The 24,567-nt window shown below is 41.7% G+C and overlaps 1 protein-coding gene across 2 annotated transcripts in view, besides 1 other annotated feature; it reads right to left on the minus strand.

The window, feature by feature from the left end:
* Positions 1,122-1,331: a silencer, noted in NCBI's record as "fragment chr11:107661301-107661510 (GRCh37/hg19 assembly coordinates)". NCBI's record gives its function as "represses an EF-1alpha promoter that drives an FKBP-Casp9 reporter gene in an ReSE screen in K562 erythroleukemia cells {active_cell/tissue: K562}" and the evidence as "EXISTENCE:reporter gene assay evidence [ECO:0000049][PMID:32094911]".
* SLC35F2 (solute carrier family 35 member F2) overlaps positions 1,538-24,567 on the minus strand; it is a 67,797-nt gene continuing 44,767 nt past the window's right edge. For both annotated transcript variants that reach the window (NM_017515.5, XM_047427146.1), the window contains exons 3-8: positions 22,214-22,341; positions 17,264-17,423; positions 15,906-16,062; positions 15,265-15,317; positions 13,548-13,702; positions 1,538-3,347 (exon numbers count right to left, since the gene is read on the minus strand). In NM_017515.5, the coding sequence (NP_059985.2) occupies positions 3,162-3,347; positions 13,548-13,702; positions 15,265-15,317; positions 15,906-16,062; positions 17,264-17,423; positions 22,214-22,341 (839 nt within the window). In that variant the 3' untranslated portion in view covers positions 1,538-3,161. The remainder of the gene's footprint in view (positions 3,348-13,547; positions 13,703-15,264; positions 15,318-15,905; positions 16,063-17,263; positions 17,424-22,213; positions 22,342-24,567) is intronic.

Raw genomic sequence — 24,567 nt, forward strand, 5'->3', positions numbered from 1 at the left:
CATATATCGCCTGAGAGCATGGGGAGGGGACAATGATCGGGATATAAACCCAGGCATTCGAACCGGATCGGGCAACCCCCTTTGGGTCCCCTCCCATTGTATGGGAGCTCTGTTTTCACTCTATTAAATCTTGCAGCTACACTTCTTGTCCGTGTTTGTTACGGCTCCAGCCGAGCCGTCCACCACTGCTGTTTGCTGCCGTTGCAGACCCACCATTGACTTCCACCCCTCCGGATCTGGCAGAGTGTCCACTGTGCTCCTGATCCAGCGAGGCGCCCATTGCTGCTCCTGATCAGGCTAAAGGCTCGCCATTGTTTCTGCATGACTAAGTGCCCAGGTTCATCCTAATCGAACTGAACACTAGTTGCTGGTTTCCACGGTTCTCTTCCGTGACCCACGGCTTCTAATAGAGCTTAACACTCACCACATGGCCCAAGGTTCCATTCCTTGGAATCCACTGAGGCCAAGAACCCCAGGTCAGAGAACAAAAGGCTTGCTGCCATCTTGGGTGTGGCCTGCCCCATCTTGGGAGCGGCCCACCACCATCTTGGGAGCTCTAAGAACAAAGACCTGCACGTAACAGTGCTGGGATTACAGGCTTGAGCCAGTGCACCCGGCCTACTTCCTTTTTCTAAAGTCCATCCTGGTGTATATGTATCCTAAACACCCAAATATGTAACCAAAGACTTTGTGAATGACCCTGCTCACCAAACAGCAACCTTGCAGGATCAGCAACTGCAGTTCTGACTGCGGCTGTCGCTGGTGTAAATAAAATGAAACAATGAGCAAAATAGCACAAATTTAAAACTAAACCATCAGTGTGCTAATCAAACTGAAAGTCTTCCTAAAAGAGCCAAACATTTTAACATAACCTTTCCCACTCTCATAGTTGTTAATGTTAGGGAGCAAAAACCAAACATCGATTGAAAAGGCAGTTTTAATTGGTTGCAGAAAATGAAAGGTTACTTCACTCAAAAAAGTAAAAAAAAACTCATTGTGGTAATTCAGAATTGGAAAATGTTTATTCCTGCAAATGATCGGTAAGCTTGCTCTGAATTCCCTGGAATCCCAGCATAGTCCCCAAATAGACAGGCTTGCCTCACCCCACAGAGGATACGACTCTGAAAAATTGAATATGAAGAAATACTGAATATGTCAAGTCATTCAAAATCCACAAGGAGGCCAGGCGTGGTGGCTCATGCCTGTAATCCCAGCACTTTGGGAGGCTGAGGTGGGTGGATCACTTGAGGTCAGTTCGAGACCAGCCTGGCCAACATGGTGATACCCTACTAAAAATACAAAAATTAGCTGGGCATGGTGGTGCATACCTGTAGTCCAGGTAGGAGAATTGCTGAACCCAGGAGGCAGAGGTTGCAGTGAGCTGAGATGGCACCACTGCACTCCAGCCTGGGCGACAGGACAAGACTCAAACAAAAAAAAAAGAAGAAAAAAAAATCCACAAGGGTTTTGAAGGACGGCTTTACTGGAAAAAAAATCCACAAGGGGAAATGGTTAATCAAAGAAACCACACAGTTGATGTATTTCCATGAATTCAAAGCCTTTTAATGATGTGAACACTTACTCCCCATTTCTTTTTTACATTGTTACAAAAAATTTACATACAGTTTTCTGAAAGTGGCATTTTGTTGGTTGTTATTATACTGATGACACATATTAACACTTTGTATTGAAGAAGTATCATAAAAATCACAGGGCATTACAGATTTTTGATAAGAAGTAGTAATAGCATTGTCTTTTAACAGCTGGAGGCTCCCAGGCATACTCTTTGGTGAGAAATGATTAATTTTATATTTTCATTTTGATGAGAATCTTTTCTTGTTTTTACCAGTTATAAAAACAAAGCTTTTTCTTTGTTGTGATACTGTGCACTAAGACTTAGTTTCTTGAGCTGATGCTAAATAAAATGAGATCAATAGGAATATTCCAGGAGGTCGTGAGAAGTTTTTAGAAAGGATGGCATCTACATATATATGGAGCTCTGAAAACTGTTGGAGAGTATGACCTGGGACTGAAACTGTGGAGCACATAGCCAGTGTCACAGGCTCCGAGAGCAGAGAGAGTTTGCTCTGGGACCTGGAATGAGTGATGGAGAAATGTTTTAAACAAACAAACAAACAGGCCAGGCACAGTGGTTCACATCTGTAATCCTAGCACTTTCGGAGGCCGAGGTGGGCAGATCGCTTTAGCTCAGGAATTTGAGATTAGCCTGGGCAACATGGCGAAACCCCATCTCTCTACAAAAACAAACAAAACAGGCCTGGCACGGTGGCTCAAGCCTGTAATCCCAGCACTTTGGGAGGTCGGGGCAGGCAGATCACTTGAGGTCGGGAGGTCAAGACCAGCCTGGGCAACATGGTGAAACCCCATGTCTACTAAAAATACAAAACTTAGCTGGGCGTGGGGCCACATGCTTTTGTAATCCCAGCTACTAACACTTGAATCCAGGAGGCAGAGGTTACAGTAAGCTGAGCTTGCACCACTGCACTCTAGACTCTGCATCTCAAACAAACAAAAAAACAATTGTGGGAAGGTTCCTAGGTTTACTGCACTCCAGTTTAATGCTTGTATAGTACTCACACTTATATCTCAAGACTTTTCAAGGGCTGACCCACCCGTTTTCTGCCACATGCAGTCAGCCCCAAGGCCTCATCTGTACCCAAAGGCCTGTGGACAATAACTGCCTCAGCAAAAAAAAAAAAAAAAAAAAACCTTGAAGCATCTGACAGAGGAAACGTACTCCAGAGCCACCGTGAGCTGCCCCTGTTCCTGACCACCAAGCCCAGCCTGGACAGCCTGCTTTCCCGCCCTGGCCTGAGGCTGGCTCAGTCCTGGATCTCTCCCCAGTCCTGCTTTCCCACTGGTGCCTCTAAGACCCCAGTGTGGAGTCTGCACCTCATCTCCTCAACACGAACAGATATTGGTCCTCAAACACAGAAACACACTCTTAGCTTGGTTTCTGCTCTATTTTGGTATTTCTACTTTTGAACTTTGTTCAGTGTTCCTTTCTAAAACCTAACCACTGGATCCAACCCAGGGTTGTAGAGTGTCCATTCTGAGTCTGCTATTTCCCCAAGTGTCCCCTCAGCAGGCAGCAGGCTCTGCTTTATCCTGGTGGGGGATGGGTGCGCCATCTTCTCCAGCTACAAGACAGCAGAGTGGGTCTCCTGGAGGTTCTCCTCCAGCTTCAGCCCCAGGTTGTCAATCCCAATGCTGGTGACTGGAGGCACGCTGCTTTCAGCCGGCTCGGCCGTGCGAGTAGGGGTGGAGCAGTACAGGATAAACCCCACCATGATGACAGTGAAGGACAGGATGTAGAGTCCTGAAAACTAGAAGGGAAGAACAGGCAGTGAATTGTGCCCCTCACATACACATCTTTGCTGCTGGCTTTTGCCAACTGTGCTTCGAGGATTACCCTCTCATAATCTTTTTATTTTCTTTCTTTCTTTCTTTCTTTCTTTTTAAGACAGGGTCTCGCTCTGTGGCCCAGGCTGGAGTGCAGTGGCACAATCTCGGCTCACTGCAACCTCCACCTCCCAGGCTCCAGTGATCCTCCCGCCTCAACCTCCAGAGTAGCTGACACCACAGGCACTCACCACCACACCCGGCCAATTTTTGTGTTTTCTGTAGAGACGGGGTTTTTCCATGTTGCCCAGGATGGTCTCGAACACCTGAGCTCAAGCAATCCGCCCGCCTCAGGCTCCCAAAGTGCGGGGGATTACAGGCGTGGGCCGCCATGCCTGGCCTCATGATCTTTTTTCTGAAAGTTACCTAAGGAGATGCTAATGCACAAAACCTTCCCATGTATGCTGGTGAATGATGGGACTCTGCCAACAGCACCCGGCACATAAGCCACCTGGATCCTTGGATCTTTAGGAGAAATGGACCTTTGCTTTTCTCTGTCATAATCCAGCTACACCCCACTCTGCATATAGTCCCACTTAGTGGAGAAAATAAAAGGTCATCATGGATACCACAGAGAGCCCCATTCAGACCCTAGACACTGCTTACAATATTGGTATGAAGCAGAGGAACGTAAGACTATGATGAAATGTGGAAGTACAGAAGGGGCATCTGCTCAACAGCCTCTCAATGTGTGCTATTCAATGAAATTCATTTTGCTAAAATTTAATACATTATCTTGTCTCTGTGGGCAAGTATTACATAGTAAAATTTATGGTGGACTGAGCAGATTCAGAATTGTAGAGCTAGAAAGAGCCTAAGATACTAGAAGAGTCCAAAGCCCAAAGAGGTGACTGAGTGTAAGGTCCGGTGAGGACAATCATAGGAAACAGAGCCCTGTGAGAGGCATCTCATACACTCTCTGTTCCCAGAAGGACCAAAAAGAGCAGGAGCCCATTCTGACAGAAATTTTAAAAGTATGGATGGAGTTTTTGGTGACCTTCCCCAACTTTCCCCTTCCTAAGACTGAAAACCACCACCCAGAGCAAAATGCAATGAGGAAAGAACACTAATTCATTGGGTATATATATGGAAAAATGATATACCCCAAAAGTCTAAATAAATTCTATTAAGAATTTTGTATATTTCCTCTTGAGTTGAAAATCCATACAAAAGTTGAAGTATTAAAGAAATCAGTCTGTATTTTTTCTTTTTTTTTTTTTTTTAGACAGAGTTTTGCTCTGTCTCCCAGGCTGGAGTGCAATGGCGCAATCTTGGCTCACTGCAACCTCTGCCTCCCGGGTTCAAGCGATTCTTCTGCCTCAGCCTCCCGAGTAGCTGGGACTACAAGCATGCACCACCATGCCTGGCTAATTTTTGTATATTTGGTAGAGACGGGGTTTCACCATGTTGGCCAGGCTGGTCTCGAACACCAGACCTTGTGATCCGCTCGCCTTGGCCTCCCAAAGTGCTGGGATTACAGGCGTGAGCTACCACGCCTGGCCATCAGTATGTATGTTTAGCAGCATGATAAAGCACAGAAAGAGAGTGGCTAAAGACTGACCAAGAATGGTGTACTAAAAATTAGAGAAACTATGTACTGTAACTAATGTGTAATCAAATACCCAGGGCCTTATTTTTCCTTTCAACTGGAAAAGCAAACTCAACTTATGATTAATCCTGCTAACCTGATTTTAAAATTAGGAATGGAGTAGCTAACATCATACTGAATGGGGAAAATATAAAAGCCTTACTTTTAAGAACTGGAAAAAAACAAGGATGCCCACTTTCACCACTCCTATTCAACATAGTACTGGAAGTCCTAGCCAGAGCAATTAGGCAAGAAAAAGAAATAAGAGGCATCCAAATTAGAAAAGAAGAAGTTAAATTATCCCTCTCTGTAGATGACATGATCTTATATCCAGAAAAACCTAAAGATGCCACAAAATAGCTCTTAGATCTGATCAATAAATTAGGTAAAGTTGTAGGATACAAAATCAACATATAAAAATCAGTAGCCTTTCTATACACTAATAATGAACTAGCTGAGATAGAAACCAAGAAGGCAATCCCATTTACAACAGCTACACAAAATAAAATAGGACTAAATTTAACCAAGGAGGTGAAAGACCTCTATAAGGAAAGCTACAAAACCCTGATGAAAGAAATTGAAGATGACACAAATGGAAACACCCATGCTTATGGACTGGAAGGATTAATCTCATTAAAATGAGCATACTGCCCAAAGCAATCTATAAATTCAGTGCAATCCCTATCAAAATATCAATGTTATTTTTCACATAAACAGAAAACACAATCCTAAAATTCATATGGAACCACAAAAGGGCCCAAATAGCCAAAGCAATGCTGGGCAACCAAAACAGCATGGTATTAGTATAAAATGAAAATGAACTCCTATCTCTCACCATATAAAAAAATCAACTCAAGGTGGGATTAAAGACTTAAATATAAGACCCAAAACTATAAAGCTACTAGAAGAAAACACAGGGAAACACTTTAGGACATTGGTCTAGACAAAGATTTTATGGCTAACATCTCAAAAGCACAGGTAACAAAAACAAAAATAGACAAATGGGACTATATTAAACTAAAAAGTTTCTGCACAGCAAAGAAGACAATCAACAGAGTGAAAAGATAACCTCCTGAATGGGAGAAAATATCTGCAAACTATTAATCCAACAAGGGACTAATAACCAGAGTATACAAGTAACTCAAATGACTAAAGAGTGAAAAACAAATAATCCTATTAAAAAGTGGGCGAAGGACATGAATAAACATTCACCAAAAGAAGACATAAATGGCCAACAGGTATATGAAAAAATGTTCAACATCACTAATCATCAGGAAAGTGCAAATCAAAGCCACAATAAGATATCATCTTACCTCAGTTAGAATGGCTATTATTAAAAAGTCAAAAAATAACATGCTGGCAAGGATGTATAGAAAAGGAACTCTTAGGCCAGGTGCGGTGGCCCACGCCTGTAATCCTAGCACTTTGGGAGGCTGAGGCGGGTGGATCACCTGAGGTCAAGAGTTCGAGACCAGCCTGGCCAAGATGGTGAAACCTCATCTCTACTAAAAATACAAAAACTAGCTGGGTGTGGTGGTGGCACCTATCCAGCTACTCGGGAGGCTGAGGCAGGAGAATCACTTGAACCCAGGAGGCGGAGGTTGCAGTGAGCCGAGATCATGCCACTGCACTCCAGCCTGGGCAACAGAGCAAAAACTCCATCTCAAGAAAAGAAAAAGAAAAGGGAACTCTTAAATACTGCTGGTGGGAATGTAAATTAGTATAGTAGAGCCACTATGGAAAACAGTACGGAGATTCTCAAAAAACTAAAAATAGAACTACTATACAATCCAGCAATCCCACTACTGGGTATTTATCCAAAGGAAAAGAAATCAGTATATCAAAGGGAGATACCTGCACTCATCTGTTTATTGCAGCACTATTCACAATAGCAAAGATATGGAATCAACCTAACTGTCCGTCAGTGGACAAATGAATAACGAAAATATGATATATAAACACAATGGGATACTATTCAGCCACAAAAAAATGAAATCCTATTATTTGCAGCAACATGGATGGAACTAGAGGTCATTATGTTAAATGAAATAAGCTAGGGCACAGAAAGACAAATAGTGCATGTTTCACTCATATGTGAGAGCTTAAAAAGTCAATCTTGTGGAGGTAGAGCATAGAATGACAGATATCAGAGGCTGTGGAGGATGTGTGGATTGGGGGTGGGAGATAAAGAGAGGTTAGGTTTTTGTAGTGGTGGTTGTTTTGAGACAGGGTCTGGCTCTGTCACCCAGGCTGGAGTGCAGTAGTTCAATTTCAGCTCACTGCAACCTGTGCCTCCCAGGCTCAAGCAATCCTCCCACCTCAGCCTCCCAATTAGCTGGGACTACAGGTGTGCACCAACATACCCGTATAATTTTTGTATTTTTTTTTTGTAGAGACAGGGTTGTGCCATGTTGCCCAGGCTGGTCTCAAACTCTTGAGCTCAAGCAATCTGTGTGTCTTGGCCTCCCAAAGTGGTGGGATTACAGGCGTGAGCCACCATGCCCAGCCTAAGGGACGTTGTTTAATGGGTACAAACATTTAGTTAGATAGAAGGAATAAGTTCTAATGTTTGACAGCAGAGTAGGTTGACTACAGTTGAAATGATAAATACTCGAGGTGATGGACGTCTCAAATACTCTGACTTGTACACAGTCTATGCATGTAACAAAATGTCTTATGTATCCCATAAATATGTATAAATATTTGTATCAATAAAAAATTAAGAACGGGGCATTCTATTTTATTCACACCAATAAATAGTTTTAAATTAGCTTAAGTTTCATATTATGCCCAATAAAAAGTTCAAATAAGGAGATGACAGCAAAAAACAGTAAGAAAACAGAATGGGCTAGGGAAGGAGGGAAAAGGAAGAGAAAGAAGATGAGAAGGAAGGAGGGGGTGGAAGGAGTGAGACAGAGAGAGAAGAAAAAGCAAGCAAGCTAGCTTGGCACAGTGGTAGGCACCTGCAGTCCCAGCTACTCAGGAGGCTAAGGTGGGAGGATCACTTGAGCCCAGGAGTTTGAGGCCAACCTGGGCAACATAGTGAGACCCTATCGCTAAAAAGAAAATTAAAAATTAAAAAAAAGCAAGATACACTCCCAAAGGTAAAAGAAAAAACTAAGTAATTTTTTGAAATGAGTATTAAGTAGATTGCTGGTCACATCCAGCTGTGGGCTCCTTGGGTCACCAACAGCTTTAATGTGCTAACTTGTTATAGATGCTCAATTATTTCTTAACGTTAAACCTTAAGAATTCCTTAAGGAATGTAATAGCCACAGCCCTCCCCAAGACAGGAAAATGCTTCCTGGATTAAATGATAATGCAAAACCAATAATAATGTCAAGCTAAGCAGACAACTATAATTTCCTACCACTGATTTTCATTCTTGGATCTAATACATAGCACAGGGCCCAACACATAGCTGGTGTTTAATAAATGTTTGTTGAAAAAAATTGATTCAGAGAATATTAGGGGAAGTTAGAGCTGTTTGGAGTACTCTAAACTTTTTAAGTTGGTATTTTTTATTTTTTTTTGTTATTTTTATTTATTTATTTTTTGAGACAGAGTCTTGCTCTATCACCCAGGCTGGAGTGCAGTGGTGCAGTCTCAGCTCAGTGCAACCTCTACCTCCTGGGCTCAAGCAATTCTTGTGCCTCGGCCTCCCAAGTAACTGGGATTACAGGTGCCCGCCATCATGCCCAGCTAGTTTTTGTATTTTTAATAGAGATGGGGTTTCACCATGTTGGCCGGGCTCGTCTCAAACTCCTGAACTAAAGTGACCCACTCACCTCAGTCTCCCAAAGTGCTGGGATTACAGGTGTGAGCCACTTGCGCCCAGCCTTAAGTTGGTATTTTGAAAGGTAATCTTGCTGTCCCATAAAATGTTTACTGTTACCTGTGAAAACACCTATATAACTTGTTCAAAACCTGTTATATTTGGTTTGGTGGCTTTTAAATGTTCAGAAGAAAAACTATCATGTCTCTCTTAAGAAGGCAGGTGATTAAATGGAGTCACTTTTATTAGGATGGAGAGACTAATAAAGAGATTAAGTCTCCTGAATTAGAGGCGCTTACTTCTTTGTCTTGTAAAATTCTTTGTGTCTGGATCTATACAGGAAGTTTCTTGCGATTACTTTATTCAGCAAATATTCACTCAAGATCAATTTCAGGAGAGGCAGAGTGCTTAAGGGACACGGATGAGCGTAAAAAATTCTGAGCCTCTTTTTCAACTGTCTGCTTCAAAAAATTAGAGCCAAAGTTATTTTAGACACAGTTTTTAAAACTGGTAGTGTATCAAGCTTACAATCTGCCTTTAAAAACTACTTCTTGGCCAGGCTCAGTGGCTCATGCCCTGTGGTCCCAGCACTTTGGGAGGCAGAGGCAAGCGGATCACCTGAGGTCAGGAGTTCGAGACCAGCCTGGCCAACATAGTGAAACCCCGTCTCTACTAAAAATACACAAATTAGCCGGGTTTGGTGGCAGGTGCCTGTAATCCCAGCTACTCAGGAGGCTGAAGCACAAGAATTGCTTGAACCCAGACTGCAGGGGTGGCAGTGAGCTGAGATCACACCACTGCACTCCAGCCTGGGTGACAGAGCGAGACTCTGTCGCAAACAAAACAAACTACTTCTAAAGTGCTAGGTGTCTTCATTATGCTCTGAGTTTTTTCTACCTCTGTAATTTATTCTGAAGATTTCAGAAGACCTGCTCTTTGCTCTGTAAGTCTTGAAACATTTGACCAAAAATAGTAAAAATCTGATCTAAGAATGTACTATTAGACATTCAGGGACAAAGGAACACAAAATAACTGGAAAGGAATTTATCAACTGCATGCTCTGATTCTGAGAATAGTAGTTTAAAGTTATGTGGCCAAAAAATGACATAAGAAAGGGATTTTTCATTTTAAAGTTGAAAGCAGTTGAAGCCAAAGCCGGCCACCAACTGGCCTGCAACTGCTATATAGAAACACCAGCACCCCTAGTGGTGGCCAGATGAAATGCAGCCACGGCATCACAGAAAAACTTAAGGCTGACATTGTAGTCTATGACAATTTGGCTCTCAGAAAAAAATCTGCACCCATCAGGATGACTTCTCTGATTCACTTTGACTTTATTTATTTATTTTACTTTTTTTGTTTGTTTGTTTAGACGGAGTCTCACCCTGTCACCCAGGCTGGAGTGCAATGGCATGATCTCGGCTCACTGCAACCTCCACCTCCCGGGTTCAAGTAATTCTCCTGCTGGGACTACAGATGCACGCCACCACTCCAAGCTAATTTTTGTACTTGTAAAGACGGGGTTTCACCATGTTGGCCAGGATGGTCTCGATCTCTTGACCTCGTGATCTGCCCGCCTTGGCCTCCCAAAGTGCAGGCGTGAGCCCCTGTGCCCGGCACACTTTGGCTTTTTTTTTGTTTTTGTTTGTTTTTGTTTTTTTTTTTTTGAGACAGAGTCTTGCTCTGTTGCCCAGGCTGGAGTGCAGTGGCGTGATCTCGGCTTATTGCAAGCTCTGCCTCCCAGGTTCATGCCATTCTCCTGCCTCAGCCTCCTGAGCAGCTGGGATTACAGGCGTATGCCACCATGCCCGGCTAATTTTTTGTATTTTTAGTAGAGACAGGGTTTCACCGTGTTAGCCAGGATGGTCTCGATCTCCTGACCTCGTGATCCGCCCGCCTCGGCCTCCCAAGGTCCTGGGATTACAGGTATGAGCCACTGCGCCCGGCCTGGCTTTTTTTTAATGATGTTACTAGTAAGCTATAAATACTCCTTCAGTCTTAGTTCAGGAATACCTTAACCAGCAAGTCTGCAAAGATAACAGCTGGTTCCTTCACATGTAACCTTGCAAACCAAAGGTTTACACTCCTTAAGCAGAAATTTCTGAGAATCCACTGAGCTTAATGTATCAGTAATTCAGCTAAGTGTTGTGAGTTCATGGCCGACTTCTGGGAATAGCATAAATAAGGATTTGTCTGGATACAAAATTCTACAAGGACGAAGAAAGATAGTTAATAACCTCTACTGAAACTAAAATTATCAGGTAACAGCCAGCATTCTAACTATCTGCTCAAATGACTGTCAAGAAAATAGGAAGCAGGTCAACAATCCTTTACTGAAGGCACACTGAGAAAAGACAGGTCTCGCTCTGTCAGCCAGGCTGGAGTGCAGTGGTGTGATCAGATCATGGCTCACTGCAGCCTCGACCTCCCTGGCCCCAAGTGATCCTCCCACTTCAGTCTCTCTCTGGAGTGGCTGGGACTACAGGTGCACATTACCATATCTGGCTCATTATTTTTGTATTTTTTTGTAGGGATGGGGTTTTACCATGTTGTCCAGGCTGAAAAGAGGTATTTCTAAAGCAGGGGTTCTCAAAGTATAATCCAAAATCCTTGAGGGGACCTAAAACTCTGGGGAAGAATCTATACAGTGAAAGCTATTACTACTTTTTTTTTTTTTTTTTTTTTTGAGACGGAGTTGCTCGTTACCCAGGCTAAAATGCAATGGCACAATCTTGGTTCACTACAACCTCTGCCTCTCAGGTTCAAGCGATTCTCCTGCCTCGGCTTCCCGAGTAGCTGGGATTACAGGCATGTGCCACCACACCCTGCTAATTTTTGTATTTTTAGTGGAGAGGGGGGTTTCCCCATGTTGGCCATGGCTGGTCTCGAACCCTTGACTTCAGGTGATCCACCCTCCTCAGCTTCCCAAAGTGCTGGGATTACAAGTGTAAGCCATTGCACCTGGCCCTCAAAACTATCATTACTATAATACTAAAATGCTATTTGCCCATTTCGCTTTCATCGTCTTGCAAGTGCACAATGAAATGTTCTAGAAGCTACATGATATGTGATATCACAAGGCAGAAGGAAGAAGCAGATGTGAGAATCCAGGTGTTTTTTCTAGTAAGCCACAGAGTAAAGAGATTTTTTAAATATAAATCAATGAAATTCTTCTCACTATTTTTTTATTTTGAAAAATACATTTTTTCATAAAAATGATAACATGATGAATTTATTATTTTCTTAATGAGTTAATAAGTATTTTTTAATTTCTCAGTTTTCAGTTATAATATGGTAAATAATAGGTATAAATGACTGGGGTTCCCAATTTTTAAGCATTTAAAAGGGGCTTAAAATTTTAAAAAGAGTGATCAGCAAGCCCTGGATCTAAGAAAAAAAAAAAAATAGATGAGAACTGCTAAACTGCTGCCCTAGGAATTTTCAAATTAGCTGTGAAGTTGGAAAAAAAAAATCTATATACTTGGTTCTGTCTGATTATGAGACTTTAACATGATGCAATCATAAGCTTGAGACTCTTATCTTAATAATGAAATTAAGGTGGAAAGTGCAGTGGCAAGAAGCCTGGACTGATAGAAGACTGACAACTAAGACTTAATATTGGCTTTACCATTAACCAGCTGCTGACTAAGGGTAAGTCACTGAGCTACACATCACCTCCCTGGGCCTTTGTTTTTCCATGTCTAAAATAAATGGCTCCGCCAGGCATGGTGGCTCACACCTATAATCCCAGCACTTTGGGAGGCTGAGGCAGGCAGATCATCTGAGGTCAGGAGTTCAAGACCAGCCTGGCCAACATGGTGAAACCCCATCTCTACAAAAATACAAAAATTAGCCAGGAATGATGGAGGGTGCCTGTAATCCCAGCTACTCAGGAGGCTGAGGCAGGAGAATCACTTAAACCTGGGAAGCAGAGGTTGCAGTGAGCCGAGATCACACCATTGCACTCCAGCCTGGGCAACAGAGTGAGACTCCATCTCAAAAAAAATAAATAAATAATAAAATAAAATAAATAAAATGAATGGCTCAATCAATTCTCAAGGGAAGGTGTATCAGACTCTCTGAGGATGTTATTTTTTCAAACTCCATATTTGCTCTCTTGCTTCCCCTGAAGACACTGATATATTCCCTTCCACCCCACCTGCCTTGAGAATTAGTACAGGTAATAGGACCCATTGCTGATGGCAGCAGGTTACGCTTGTAAATGCTGTGATGATGTGGATAGAAAAAGTCTGAAAAACCACTGGACTGAATTACCTTTAAGATATAAAATTACTATCAAAGACAGAACCATTCCAATCATGCATGCATGATAAACTGGCCATCTCTCTTTCCTTTCCATCAGGTACTCCAGACTTTTTGTCTCTATACCAAGGCAAAAAGAATGAATGGAAAAGTTCCTAGTGCTCAGGTTAAGTTACACTGTCCCTCAAGGTCAACAGCAGCTCTGGGCCAGCTTGTTTATCACCTGAAAACATGCGTTAACAATTCCATAAGCTAGTGCCCTGGGCCATACCATCGAAGATGAAATCCATGTATTTCACTCTTTAGAAAAACCCTAGAAGGACAATTCTTACGTGAACCCATTTTGTAATTCAGAAGCAGCAAAGGGAGGCCTGACCAATGAAATTCTTGCCAAGAAGATGAGAAGGTTTTATTTTTTGATCTAGAGTCTTGAAGAAACCTGCTACGTTTTTTGGATCCAAGCAAGTATTCTTATTTGAACGTGATCTATTTGTTTACCTTATAGCCAAACAGAAAGAGTCCAACAAAAAGGCTGTAGAGGTCCGCTGTCAGGATGCCCAGGTTGACGGAAGTGGCACTAGTGACTTTAATCACCAATGGCATGAAGCTGTACAGGCAAAACATACACAGGGCAAATGCCACGAACAGCAGGGCTGTGGAAAAAAACATGGAATATCTAATATTAGGGCAAGAAAACATAAGACAAAGGAGTTTGAGGCTTAGCTGTCATATAAAACTCCCTAACCCTTTAACATATTATGTACAAAGCCCCTTGTTAACAGTCAGCATTGAAAATGAGACCATAAAGCTCTCTCGAAAAAAGAATATAAATAGCAAGTTGTGATGTAGATAAAGGACCTCAAAAAATCCAACAAGGTATTGGATGATCAAGGTCAGAAAATCCTGCTTATGGTGTGACAGTCCATTGCTCTTAATCACCCCTTGCTATGCACCCTGCCAGGACAGCGATGCCTGTGATAAAAGGCCAATAAAGGCAGAATCAACATCTCATGTCAAGAAAAATCACTCATTATGTTTTCTTTGCTTTTGTTTGGTTGGACATGATTTGTATAATTGGATTCAGAATAAAGTATCTTTAAAGACATCAAAGACAGTTATTAGGTCCATTGTATTTTGTTCATCTCATTAAATTAAGTGCTCCGAGGCAGCACAATATAATTATCCTTTTTAGGACAGTGCTTGCCACGTGGATGTTGACTACATTAGCAGTATCTCTGCTTTGCAACTACTTCTTTAATCTCATCCCATACTCAACACACACACACACACACACACACTTTCTAGCAATCTAAGTTATTTTTATTTTTATTTATTTTTTTTGAGACGGAGTCTCGCACTGTTGCCTGGGCTGGAGTGCAGTGGCGCAATCTCAGCTCACTGCAACCTCCGCCTCCCAGGTTCAAGTGATTCTCCTGTCTCAGCCTCCCGAGTAGCTGAGATTATAGGCGCCCGCCACCATGCCCGGATAATTTTTTTTTTTTTTTTTGTATTTTTAGTAGAGACAGGGTTTCTCCATGTTGGCCAGGCTGGTCTCGAACTCCTGACCTCATGATCCACCCACCTCAGCCTCCCAAAGTGCTGGGATTACGGGCGTGAGCCACCGCACCAGGCCTGCAATCTAAGTTATTTAATTGAATTAAATTACCAACCATGGTAGACAATCTTCCATGACACCTATGTACTGTTTAACTTCTCCCCACCCCATCATTAAACCAGGTTCCAATCTTTTCTGACTGTCCCATCACCATTTTCTTTTCCTTTATTTATTTATGCAGATGCCTAGGAATATCAGATGACAGGAGCAATGGGAGGTGAGGGAGATTTCACACCATTGATGATTCAGGTTAATGCTTCACAAATTATATCAAGCAGACAACCTTCGCAAGAAGTTTGAGGACCCAAGATACAGATCTAATTGAAAGCTGGTTTGACCAAAGGTCAATCTCCAGTCTTGTTCAGGATTCCTAGTAACCAAAGGCTATTCCTGCAGGTAAAGATTAAGAATTAACTTTTATGGAAGCTTATCTACCAATTTTCAGAGAAAACTCAATGTAAACCACTATAGTTGATATGTATTAAATCACTCCTGGATTTTACAAAGACGTCTAAATATTATTAAAATAAAGCACATATTTCTAGATGTTCATTTGTTTGTTAAAGAATGCTGACTAAAAGGAATTATTTCTTTACATACCAATTTTCCAGTCCCAATGAATGCTGGCAATATCCTTATATTCCACAATCAATCTAAGATTAAAACAAGAGGTCACAGAGAGGTCCACATACTAATTTTCACTATTTTATAAGCATTTTAGTCACTATACTTCAGCTAAAGTGAGGAATTACATGGACATTTGAATTTGTCTTAGAATATAAAAATAACGATCTTTAATAAAAATGACAAAGAATAAAACCAAAGGAGTTCATAAAGATATGTTTGACTCCCTTACAGGTGCTCTGAAATAATAGTCAAGTATAGGAGGAAAATATGATATTATGCTTTGTTTTTGAATAAGCTTAGGAAGTTAATGTGTTAATATTTTCTGGAAATAACTAAAAAAACTCCTTACTGGCAAATGCCTCTACCACATGGTAATCAGGAATCCTAAGCAACACACATGTTTAAGAAAATAGGAAGTAATTCTTGATGTTTTAACAATCCTCTAGTAGACACTCAGCAAGTTATTAGGTAATGGCAAAACCACAATTACTCTTGCATCCACCTAATACTAATTCCAAATGTGAATTTGGGCCAAATAAACAATGAATATTAGTAGTTATCATCTATAATATATTTGCTTATTTTGTCTTTAGAAAAAAATTGTAGAATCTTACAGCTGTATACCACTGATAATTGTTCCAAACAGGCCCACCATTCCTAAAAACTCCTGTCTGCTCAGCTTCTTCACGATGTATTCCTCACAAACATTTGAAATGGCATAGAGGGAAGCCCCAAGAAGGACCAAGATGTCACCAATCAATACATCACTCCCTGCAGGAAGACAAGCCACAGAAAGCAAAACACTGTCAACAGATGAACCTCCACAGCGTGCCTCCAGGCGGTCATCTGACTCGTGTTCATTTAAATGACACTAAAGAAGAAGAAACTGGTTACTAGAAGTTTATGTGTGAGAGTGTGTGTGTGTGTATGTGTGTGTGTGTATGTGTGTGTTTGAGACAGTCTTGCTCTGTTGCTCAGGCTGGAGTGCAGTGGCGCAATCTCAGCTCACTGCAACCTACACCTCCGGGTTCAAGTGATTCTCCTGCCTCAGCCTCCCAACTGGCTGGGATTACAGGCACCCTCCATCATGCCTGGCTAATTTTTGCATTTGTACTGGTCTTGAACTCCTGACCTCAAGTGATCCGCTCACCTTGGCCTCCCAAAGTACTGGGATTACAGGTGCGAGCGACTGTGCCTGGCCTAATTTTTGTATTTTTGGTAGAGACCGAGGTTTCACCATGTTGGCCAGGCTGGTCTCGAACTCCTGACCTCAGGTGATCCACCCACCTTGGCCTTCCAAAATGTTGGGATTACAGGTGTGAGCCACCGCACCCAACCTGGTTACTAGAAGTTTAAAATCTCTTACTCTTCTCACTTTCTGGTGCAATTCTGCTGTAATTTTTCATAATTTAACTCCTCAGAAGTCTAACAGGCTAGAAACTGATGATATATATCATAATGTAAGGCCTCAGAAAATGATTCCATGACATGACAAATTAATGGAGTTCATTGAAGGGGTAGGTCAATTTGAAAAATGGGAACCTGCTTTCAAAGTAATTTTCCCTCTCAATCCAAAGAGACACTTAACTCACTTGTAGACTGGGTGAATTCACAGACCTTAATTAGATTTTATACTATCAACTATAATTTTCTCTCTCAATCCAAAGAGACACTTAACTCACTTGTAGACTGGGTGAATTCATGGACCTTAATTAGATTTTATAGTATCAACTGTAATTTTCTCTCTCAATCCAAGGAGACGTTTAACTCACTTGAAGATTGGATGAATTCATAGACCTCAATTAGATTTTATACTATCAACTGAATTCAACACAAAGTGTGGCAAAGTGTTCTCACCTACACAGTGACTTAAAAAGAAATACTCCAGTAAACAAGTTTCTTTGTTGATATAAAAGTGAAAACATAAACAAATTTGCTGTGATTGAAGCACAAACATGTGACACCGTCTCACCTGAATTGTCTTCCCTCCCTGCTAGTATGTCTGCACCAACCATGGTTCCTACACCCAACAGACAGACAGCCACGGCGATGAAGTGGATCACTCTGTATCTTGCATGAAGAATAAACCATGACAGAGCCATCAACACAGGAATCCCAAAGCAATCCAAAAGCTGCATGGAAAGAGAATCAACAGTTTAAAACATATCTCTCATTAGCTAAAAGATGGGTAATTAAGAAATAATAGGAGTCAGTATTTATAATAGGAGTCAGTATTTATTGAGCATTTATTATTGCCAGCCCTGTACTAAGAGCTTTACCTGGATTCACTCATTTAATCCTCACAATTCCATGAGACTGAAATTACAATCCAATTTTATACATGAGAAAATGAAGATACAGAGAGGTGAAATGAGTTGCCAAAAACACATAGTTAAAAATGGGATGACAGCTGGGCACGGTGGCTCACGCCTGTAATCTTAGCACTTTGGGAGGCTGTGGCGGGCAGACTGCTTGAGTCCAGGAGTTCGATATCAGCCTGGGCAACATGGTGAAACCCTGTCTGTACAAAAAAAAAAAAAAACAACAACAAAAAAAAACCTTGGGTGTGGTGGTGCACTCCTGTAGTCCCAGCTACTTGGGAGGCTAAGGTGAGAGGATCACTTGAGCCCGGAGTTCAAGGATGCAGTGAGCTGTGATGGTGCCACTGCACTCTAGGCTGTACAACCCAGAGAGACCCTGTCTCAAAATAAATGAATAGATAATAAAATACAATGGAAGAGTCAGTTGCTGTATACAAGAATTCTGCTGAGGGCCTGTGCACTTTACCTCTATGCTCCCACCTGTGTATATCTTTTCTTTTATTTTATTATTATTATTTTTTTTTTGAGATGGAGTCTCGCTCTGTTGCCCAAGCTGGAGCGCAGTGGTGCAATCTCGGCTCACTGCAACCTCTGCCTCTCGGGTTTAAGCAATTCTTCCTGCCTCAGCCTCCCAAGGAGCTGGGATTACAGCCATCTGCCACCATGCCCAGCTAATTTTTGTATCTTTTAGTAGAGATGGGGTTTTGTCATGTTGGCAAGGCTGGTCTCGAACTCCTGATGTCAGGTGATCTGTCTGCCTCGGCCTCCCAAAGTGCTGGGATTACAGGCGTGAGCCACCACGCCTGGCCCTGTGTATATCTTTAAGTTCAGTAGACAAACATTCCTTCCTACCTGCAACCATTTACTCAGTCAACAAATATTTGTTAAACACCTTGCATGTGTGAGACACTGTGAAAGGAGCTAGGAATAGCGGTGAACAGGACAGAGCAAGCTGTGTCCTTAGGAGCACACAAAGCTAGAAAGGACATGGAATAAATAATCACACCACCAGATATTTCACTGGAATCGGGCTAAGCGCTACAAAGAAGCATGGGTTACTGTGAGAGAACAGACACCATCTCCCTGACAAAGCGTCCAACCCCACCATGTGAGACACACTCGTGCTCATGGCAAATACTCTTGCTCATCCTCCTCACATGCTCCCCCTCACCTGTTGATACTGGGTCCAGAAAACACTAGCTATACACCTGATATTGCTCATCTGGAAGGCAGAGGGATTAAGTGTGCCAAAATTACAGCAGGTCCAAAATTGTTTGCAAGATAAAAGATAAAAAAGAGAGTGCACTCACTCAATTCTTAAATTCACAAATTTAATGTGCATTCAAGGATAAAATATATTCAAGAGATTCTTGATGCATTCCAATGTATTTCTTTCAAGGAAGAAATATATTCCTTATACCAGTAATATTCCCGAAACTGCTGTTTTATTGCTCACCCTTTTGTTGTTTCAAACCTTGTCCCTGATTCTCTCTGTATCTGTTTGGTCTTGAACAAGACAGGCCCCTAAATCTCCAACAGCCCATTCGATCCTGTCCACAGTTGTTTACTGATTGCCTTTCACTGCAGTAGCATCAGTGGAGTCCAACGCATCATGTGTAGGAATGGGCATCTTGCCTTGTTATTTATTCCAGCTGCAGAACTCTAATCTCCTAAGTGCTTTATTGAGCCTGCCTGAATAACAAAACATTAAACGATGCAAATGATAATACCCTGTCCCTGAAGACACCAGCAGAATCCAGCCATAACGGCTTAACAAAATCTCAACTACATTCCTTAAACAAAAAAAGTAGAAAAAGACATTCTAAGAACTACCACAGAAGAGTCCCTTGTGTCTTAAAATCAAACTTAAATTTGCTCTATCTTTAACAACTTTTGTTGGGCAATGAGGGAGATGCCTATGTCATGATCAGAGCTCCAGAAACCTCAGGCCCCGGCCCCACGCTGACCAGCTAGCTGTGTGGCCCCAGCCAGTCACTCTCCAAGTCAAAATATAAAATAAAAAGATCAGACGAAATGATCACACAGTTTCCCTCCGACTCTAACATTCCATGACTTCTCATCTGATATCTATCACCTTTAGTCATGTGAACCTTCTTTTCAAAATGTATTCTTGGTGGCCGGGAGTGGTGGCTCATGCCTGTAATCCCAGCACTATGAGAGGCCAAGGCCGGAGGATCACTTGAGGTCAGGAGTTCGAGACCAGCCTGGCCAACATGGCAAAACCTCGTATCTACTCAAAATACAAAAAAAAAAAAAAAAAAAAAAATCAGCTGGGCGCATGCCTGTAATCCCAGCTACTCAGGAGGCCAAGGCTGCAGTGAACCAAGATTATCCCACTTCACTCCAGCTCGGTGACAGAATGAGACTCCACCTCAAAAAAAAAAAAAAAAAAAAAATTAGCCAAGTGTGGTGGCGCGTGCCTGTAATCCCAGCTGCTCAGGAGGCTAAGGCAGGAGAATCACTTGAACCTGGGAGGCGGAGGCTGCAGTGAGCCAAGATCATGCCATTGTACTCCAGCCTGGGTGACAGAGCAAGACTCCTTCTCAGAAAAAAAAAAAGTATTCTTGGTGATGGATGTCTTCTCTGTTTCAGTTCGAAGAGTATCAATTTTATTTTTAAAAATTATTGTATAGTCACAGTAAGCAGAGTACTAAGACAGACCCTGCGACATGGGTATAAAAACAAGTTAGATCATATTAGAGGTACAATAGAGTATAGAAGAGAAAATGAAAATTGAATTAACCTTTGACAATGAGGGGAGCAGGCTTCAAAAAGGACTGCATTCTAGGAAGAACAGAGCAGCACAGGGGAGAAGGAGCAGGCCATGAGTGGGAAATGGGTTGATGTGGCAGTAAAGTGGGAAGGGACATGAGCAGCAACCTGGGCCACATCATCATCTTCACGTGAACTATCCCATGACTGTTGGTAATTACAGAACCTTCTAAGGAATCCTTAAGAAGAAGGTTCAAAGACCACCTAATCCAGATTTCCATCCTTTTGGACTACCCAGGCCAGAGATTTACTCAGTTGGAGAACCAGCTTGAATCATTCCTATCACAGCTGTCGCTGCTGCTGGAGAAAACATTACCTTGTTAGATGCCTTTTTTATAATATATTCTTTGCTAGGACCGTAAGTGCATGACTTTTGGCAACCAAATGCTTAGGTTTTTCTAAGAGGCTAGCGTGAAAGAAATTGTTTTCAATTTCTTTGAAATTGAAAGAAGGCATGAACTTCAGTCGCAACTATCCAACTGTAAGTGTTCTGTTTAACTGTGTTTAGGCCTTGCACCAATTCAAAACTTTTTATCATTAGTTAGAGATCAAAGTTCCTGGGAATTGTAATCAAGTAATTAAAATGTAGGTGAGATTATGAGAGTAGATGTGACAAGAAAATACCATTTTCTACATACTTATGTATACTTCATTAACCAACGCTAAAAGTACACTTACTCCTATTAGTGATAAACTTCATTCTCTAGGTAACTGCTGGGTTTAATTTTTACGAAACTTTAGGTTCTTTTTGTGCCTCCTATAGTGTCTGTCTTAATAAATCATTTCCTATCTCAGCTTTTTAACCCATACTGGTCAAAATCCAAGAGGTTTCCTGAGAACAATGCTTAGCACAATGTTACAGAAAAGAAAGTAGTTAATATAATGGTAGTAACATTTAATGTAGGTTCACACTGGAAAAATACTGAGTTCTCATCAATCCTTATATTTTCTATGCGAAATAAGTCTAATTTCAATTTTTCCAGTCCCTAAAATTTGGAGTCAAGTAAGAACATCTCTGTATTTTGTATAGTGAGAAAGGGACATATCAAAAAGTTATAAACTTCAAATCCCACATCTGATACACACTTTTTTTTATTATTTAAAAAAATGAAAAAAAAGTTATAAACAAACTGTGACATCTAAACCTGGCATTTGAGTCTATCTCACTTTCACCTCCACTTATAAAACATTTTGTAGTCAGTAATGGTGAGTCAGTGTTAGGAAACATCCCATAGTTTGCTAACATTAAGACAACTGAAATCAGTTGTCTTCAACTTTACAAAGTTGAAAACCTCTGCAATGTAGGAATATTTTTCTTTCAATGCAGCAAGAATAAACCTAACAAAGAAATAGGGATGGGAGTTTTAACTCTGGCTACCACCTCTCCCAAAAATGTCTACTGGGTTTCTTCCAATGGTTTCTTTGTCATGAATATCTACTATGCTTGCAAAGCTTCAACTTTCCTATAGAACAAAGGTATACTTTCATATGCCATGTTTGAGCAGCATATAAAACAGAACACGTGTCAACACCACAGCATCAACTGCCAACTAAATATTTATGCTTATTTGGTAGGAACTGTTCTAATCTGCCATAGCAGTTTGGGGGCAGCTTAAGTTGTATACATTTTCACTAATTCTAGGAAACATTACTCATTAGAGCATATGCTCTACTAGAAAACAGCATCCACCTGTGTTTAGGTTTTCTTCAAGTGAATAGATTTTCAATAAAATTAGGTCAACACATATGACTTCGTGTTCTTCTTTTGAAGCTATAAAATCCAAAGTGGTCAGAGGGCTCCCTCTTACCTGGACACTGGTTAGAGTTGTGTACTGGTAGGCTCTGACGATCACATAATTAGCTTCCACATCTGCTAGTCCCAGCAGGATGTACTTCCACCATTTTCTTTTCAAGATTACTAAAAGGTTATCACTGCCTGGTTGAAAGAAATATGGGTTAGTACATGTTACTTGCAAATGATACCATACATGTTGATTTGAAGATAAAAGAGTAGAAGCAAGAGTTTCTTGTTTTTTTTTCTTTTTTCTTCTTCTTCTTTTTGAGATAGGGTCTCATTCTGTTGCCCAGGTTGGAGTGCAGTGGCACAATCTCGGCTCACTGCAACCTCTGCCTCCTGGGTTCAAGCCATCCTCCCACCTCAGCCTCCTGAGTAGCTGGGACCACAGGCGTACGCCACCATACCCACCTAATTATTTTTGTATTTTTAGCAGAGATGGGGGTCTCACCATGTTGCCCAGGCTGGTCTTGAACTCCTGAGCTCAAGTGATCTGCCTGCCTCAGCTTCCCAAAGTGCTGGGATTTCAGGCGTGAGCTACCACGCCTGGCTATTGTGTATTTCTAATGTGGCCCCCTCCTAGTTTCCATTCTTCATAACCCAAACTCCTGCAACAGCTCACCAGAGTTAGATTTTTTTCTAGCATGAAACCCTAGTTAAAGTATCATCAGAGACCAAGTGTTCAATAAAAGCACCAGAATGAAAGTAAGAGAAAAGTGGTTAAATTCCCTTTCCCAAATGGGCACAGTGGTGTGCACCTGTAATCCCAGCTACTCAGGAGGTTGAGGTGAGGGCAGAGGACAGCTGGAGCCCAGGATTTCAAGACCAGCTGGGCTTACATAATGAGACTCCACCTCTTTAAGAAAAAAAAGAGGGAGGGCAGGGCGGGAGAAGAGCATTAAGGAAAAGAGCTAATACATGCTGGACTTAATACTTAGGTGATGGGTTGATAGCTGCAGCAAACCACCATGGCACGTTTATCTATGTAACAAACCTGCACATTCTGCACATGTATGCTGGAACTTAAAAAAATAAAATAGTTTTTTTTTAAAATCCCTTTCCTATCATAACAGAAACAAAATTTCTGGATATGAGCTTGTATGTCGCCACTTCTGACAAGCCACGGACTATCCTAGGAAATGAAATGTTTTCCTAGAAATTAATTGGTTATTTAACTTCTATTCATGGGCTTCTTCAAAGAAAAGTCTGCAGGTGATCATTCTTTTGGAAGAGGTGTGCTTTCAAGTGAAAATTAAGTCCTCGATAAGCTTGAGAAAAGGCTTAGTGCACACTGAAGAAACACCTTTTATTCCTCCAAATTATATGTATTCAAATTAATTGGATTCACTACTTTGGAGAATCTGTCATCACAGGAGATGCAGAGTTGGCACATATATGAGAAGGTTTTATGGCAAGATAACTCACAAATAAATAAAAGTAGTGAGAATCATAACCAAATAATTATCAGTAAAATCCAGTTAGCAGGAACATCTTGAAAACACAGAATTAGGCCGGGTGCGGTGGCTCACACCTGTAATCCCAGCACATTGGGAGGCTGAGGTGGGCAGATCACCTGAGGTCAGGAGTTCGAGACCAGCCTGGTCAACATGGAGAAACCCCATCTCTATTAAAAATACAAAAATTAGCTGGGCGTGGTGGCAGGTGCCTGTAATTCCAGCTACTAGGGAGGCTGAGGCAAGAAAATCGCTTGAACCCAGGAGGCAGAGGTTGCACTGAGCCGAGATTGTGCCATTGACCTGAAATCGTGCCACTGCATTCCAGCCTGGGCAACAAGAGCGAAACTCCGTCTCAGAAGAAAAACAAAAAACAAAACAAAAACACAGAATTAGTCTTCCTCAGCATCAAATGGCATAGGAAGCACCTAACAACCATCCCTTAGGGAGACTAACTGCACTGATACATTTGGGAGTCTCACCAAATTCCTGAAGGCCAATGCTTCCACAAAGAGCAAAGTCCAGGGTTATTAACCATGTACAGTTCCACTCCCAACTCTTCTTTTTTTTCCTTTGGAGACAGGGTCTTGGTCTGTCATTTGGGCTTGACAGCAGTGGTGTGATCTTGGCTCACTGCAACCTCAGCCTCTTGGGATCAAGCCATCCTCCACCTCAGCCTCCCAAGTAGCTGGGACTACAGGGACATGCCATCATGCCCAGCTAATTTTTGTATTTTTTGTAGAGAAGGAGTTTCATCGTGTTGCCCAGGCTTGTCTTGAACTCCTGGCCTCAGGTGATCCTCCCACCTTGACCTCCCTAAGTGCTGGGGTTACAGGTGTGAGCCATCACACCCAGCCCTAAATTTCAATAAAGACTTTTAGATAGCTGGTGCATGGGATGAAATAAATTACTC

This window comes from Homo sapiens, chromosome 11, assembly GCF_000001405.40.
Source record: "Homo sapiens chromosome 11, GRCh38.p14 Primary Assembly".
NCBI classification, from domain to species: domain Eukaryota; kingdom Metazoa; phylum Chordata; class Mammalia; order Primates; family Hominidae; genus Homo; species Homo sapiens.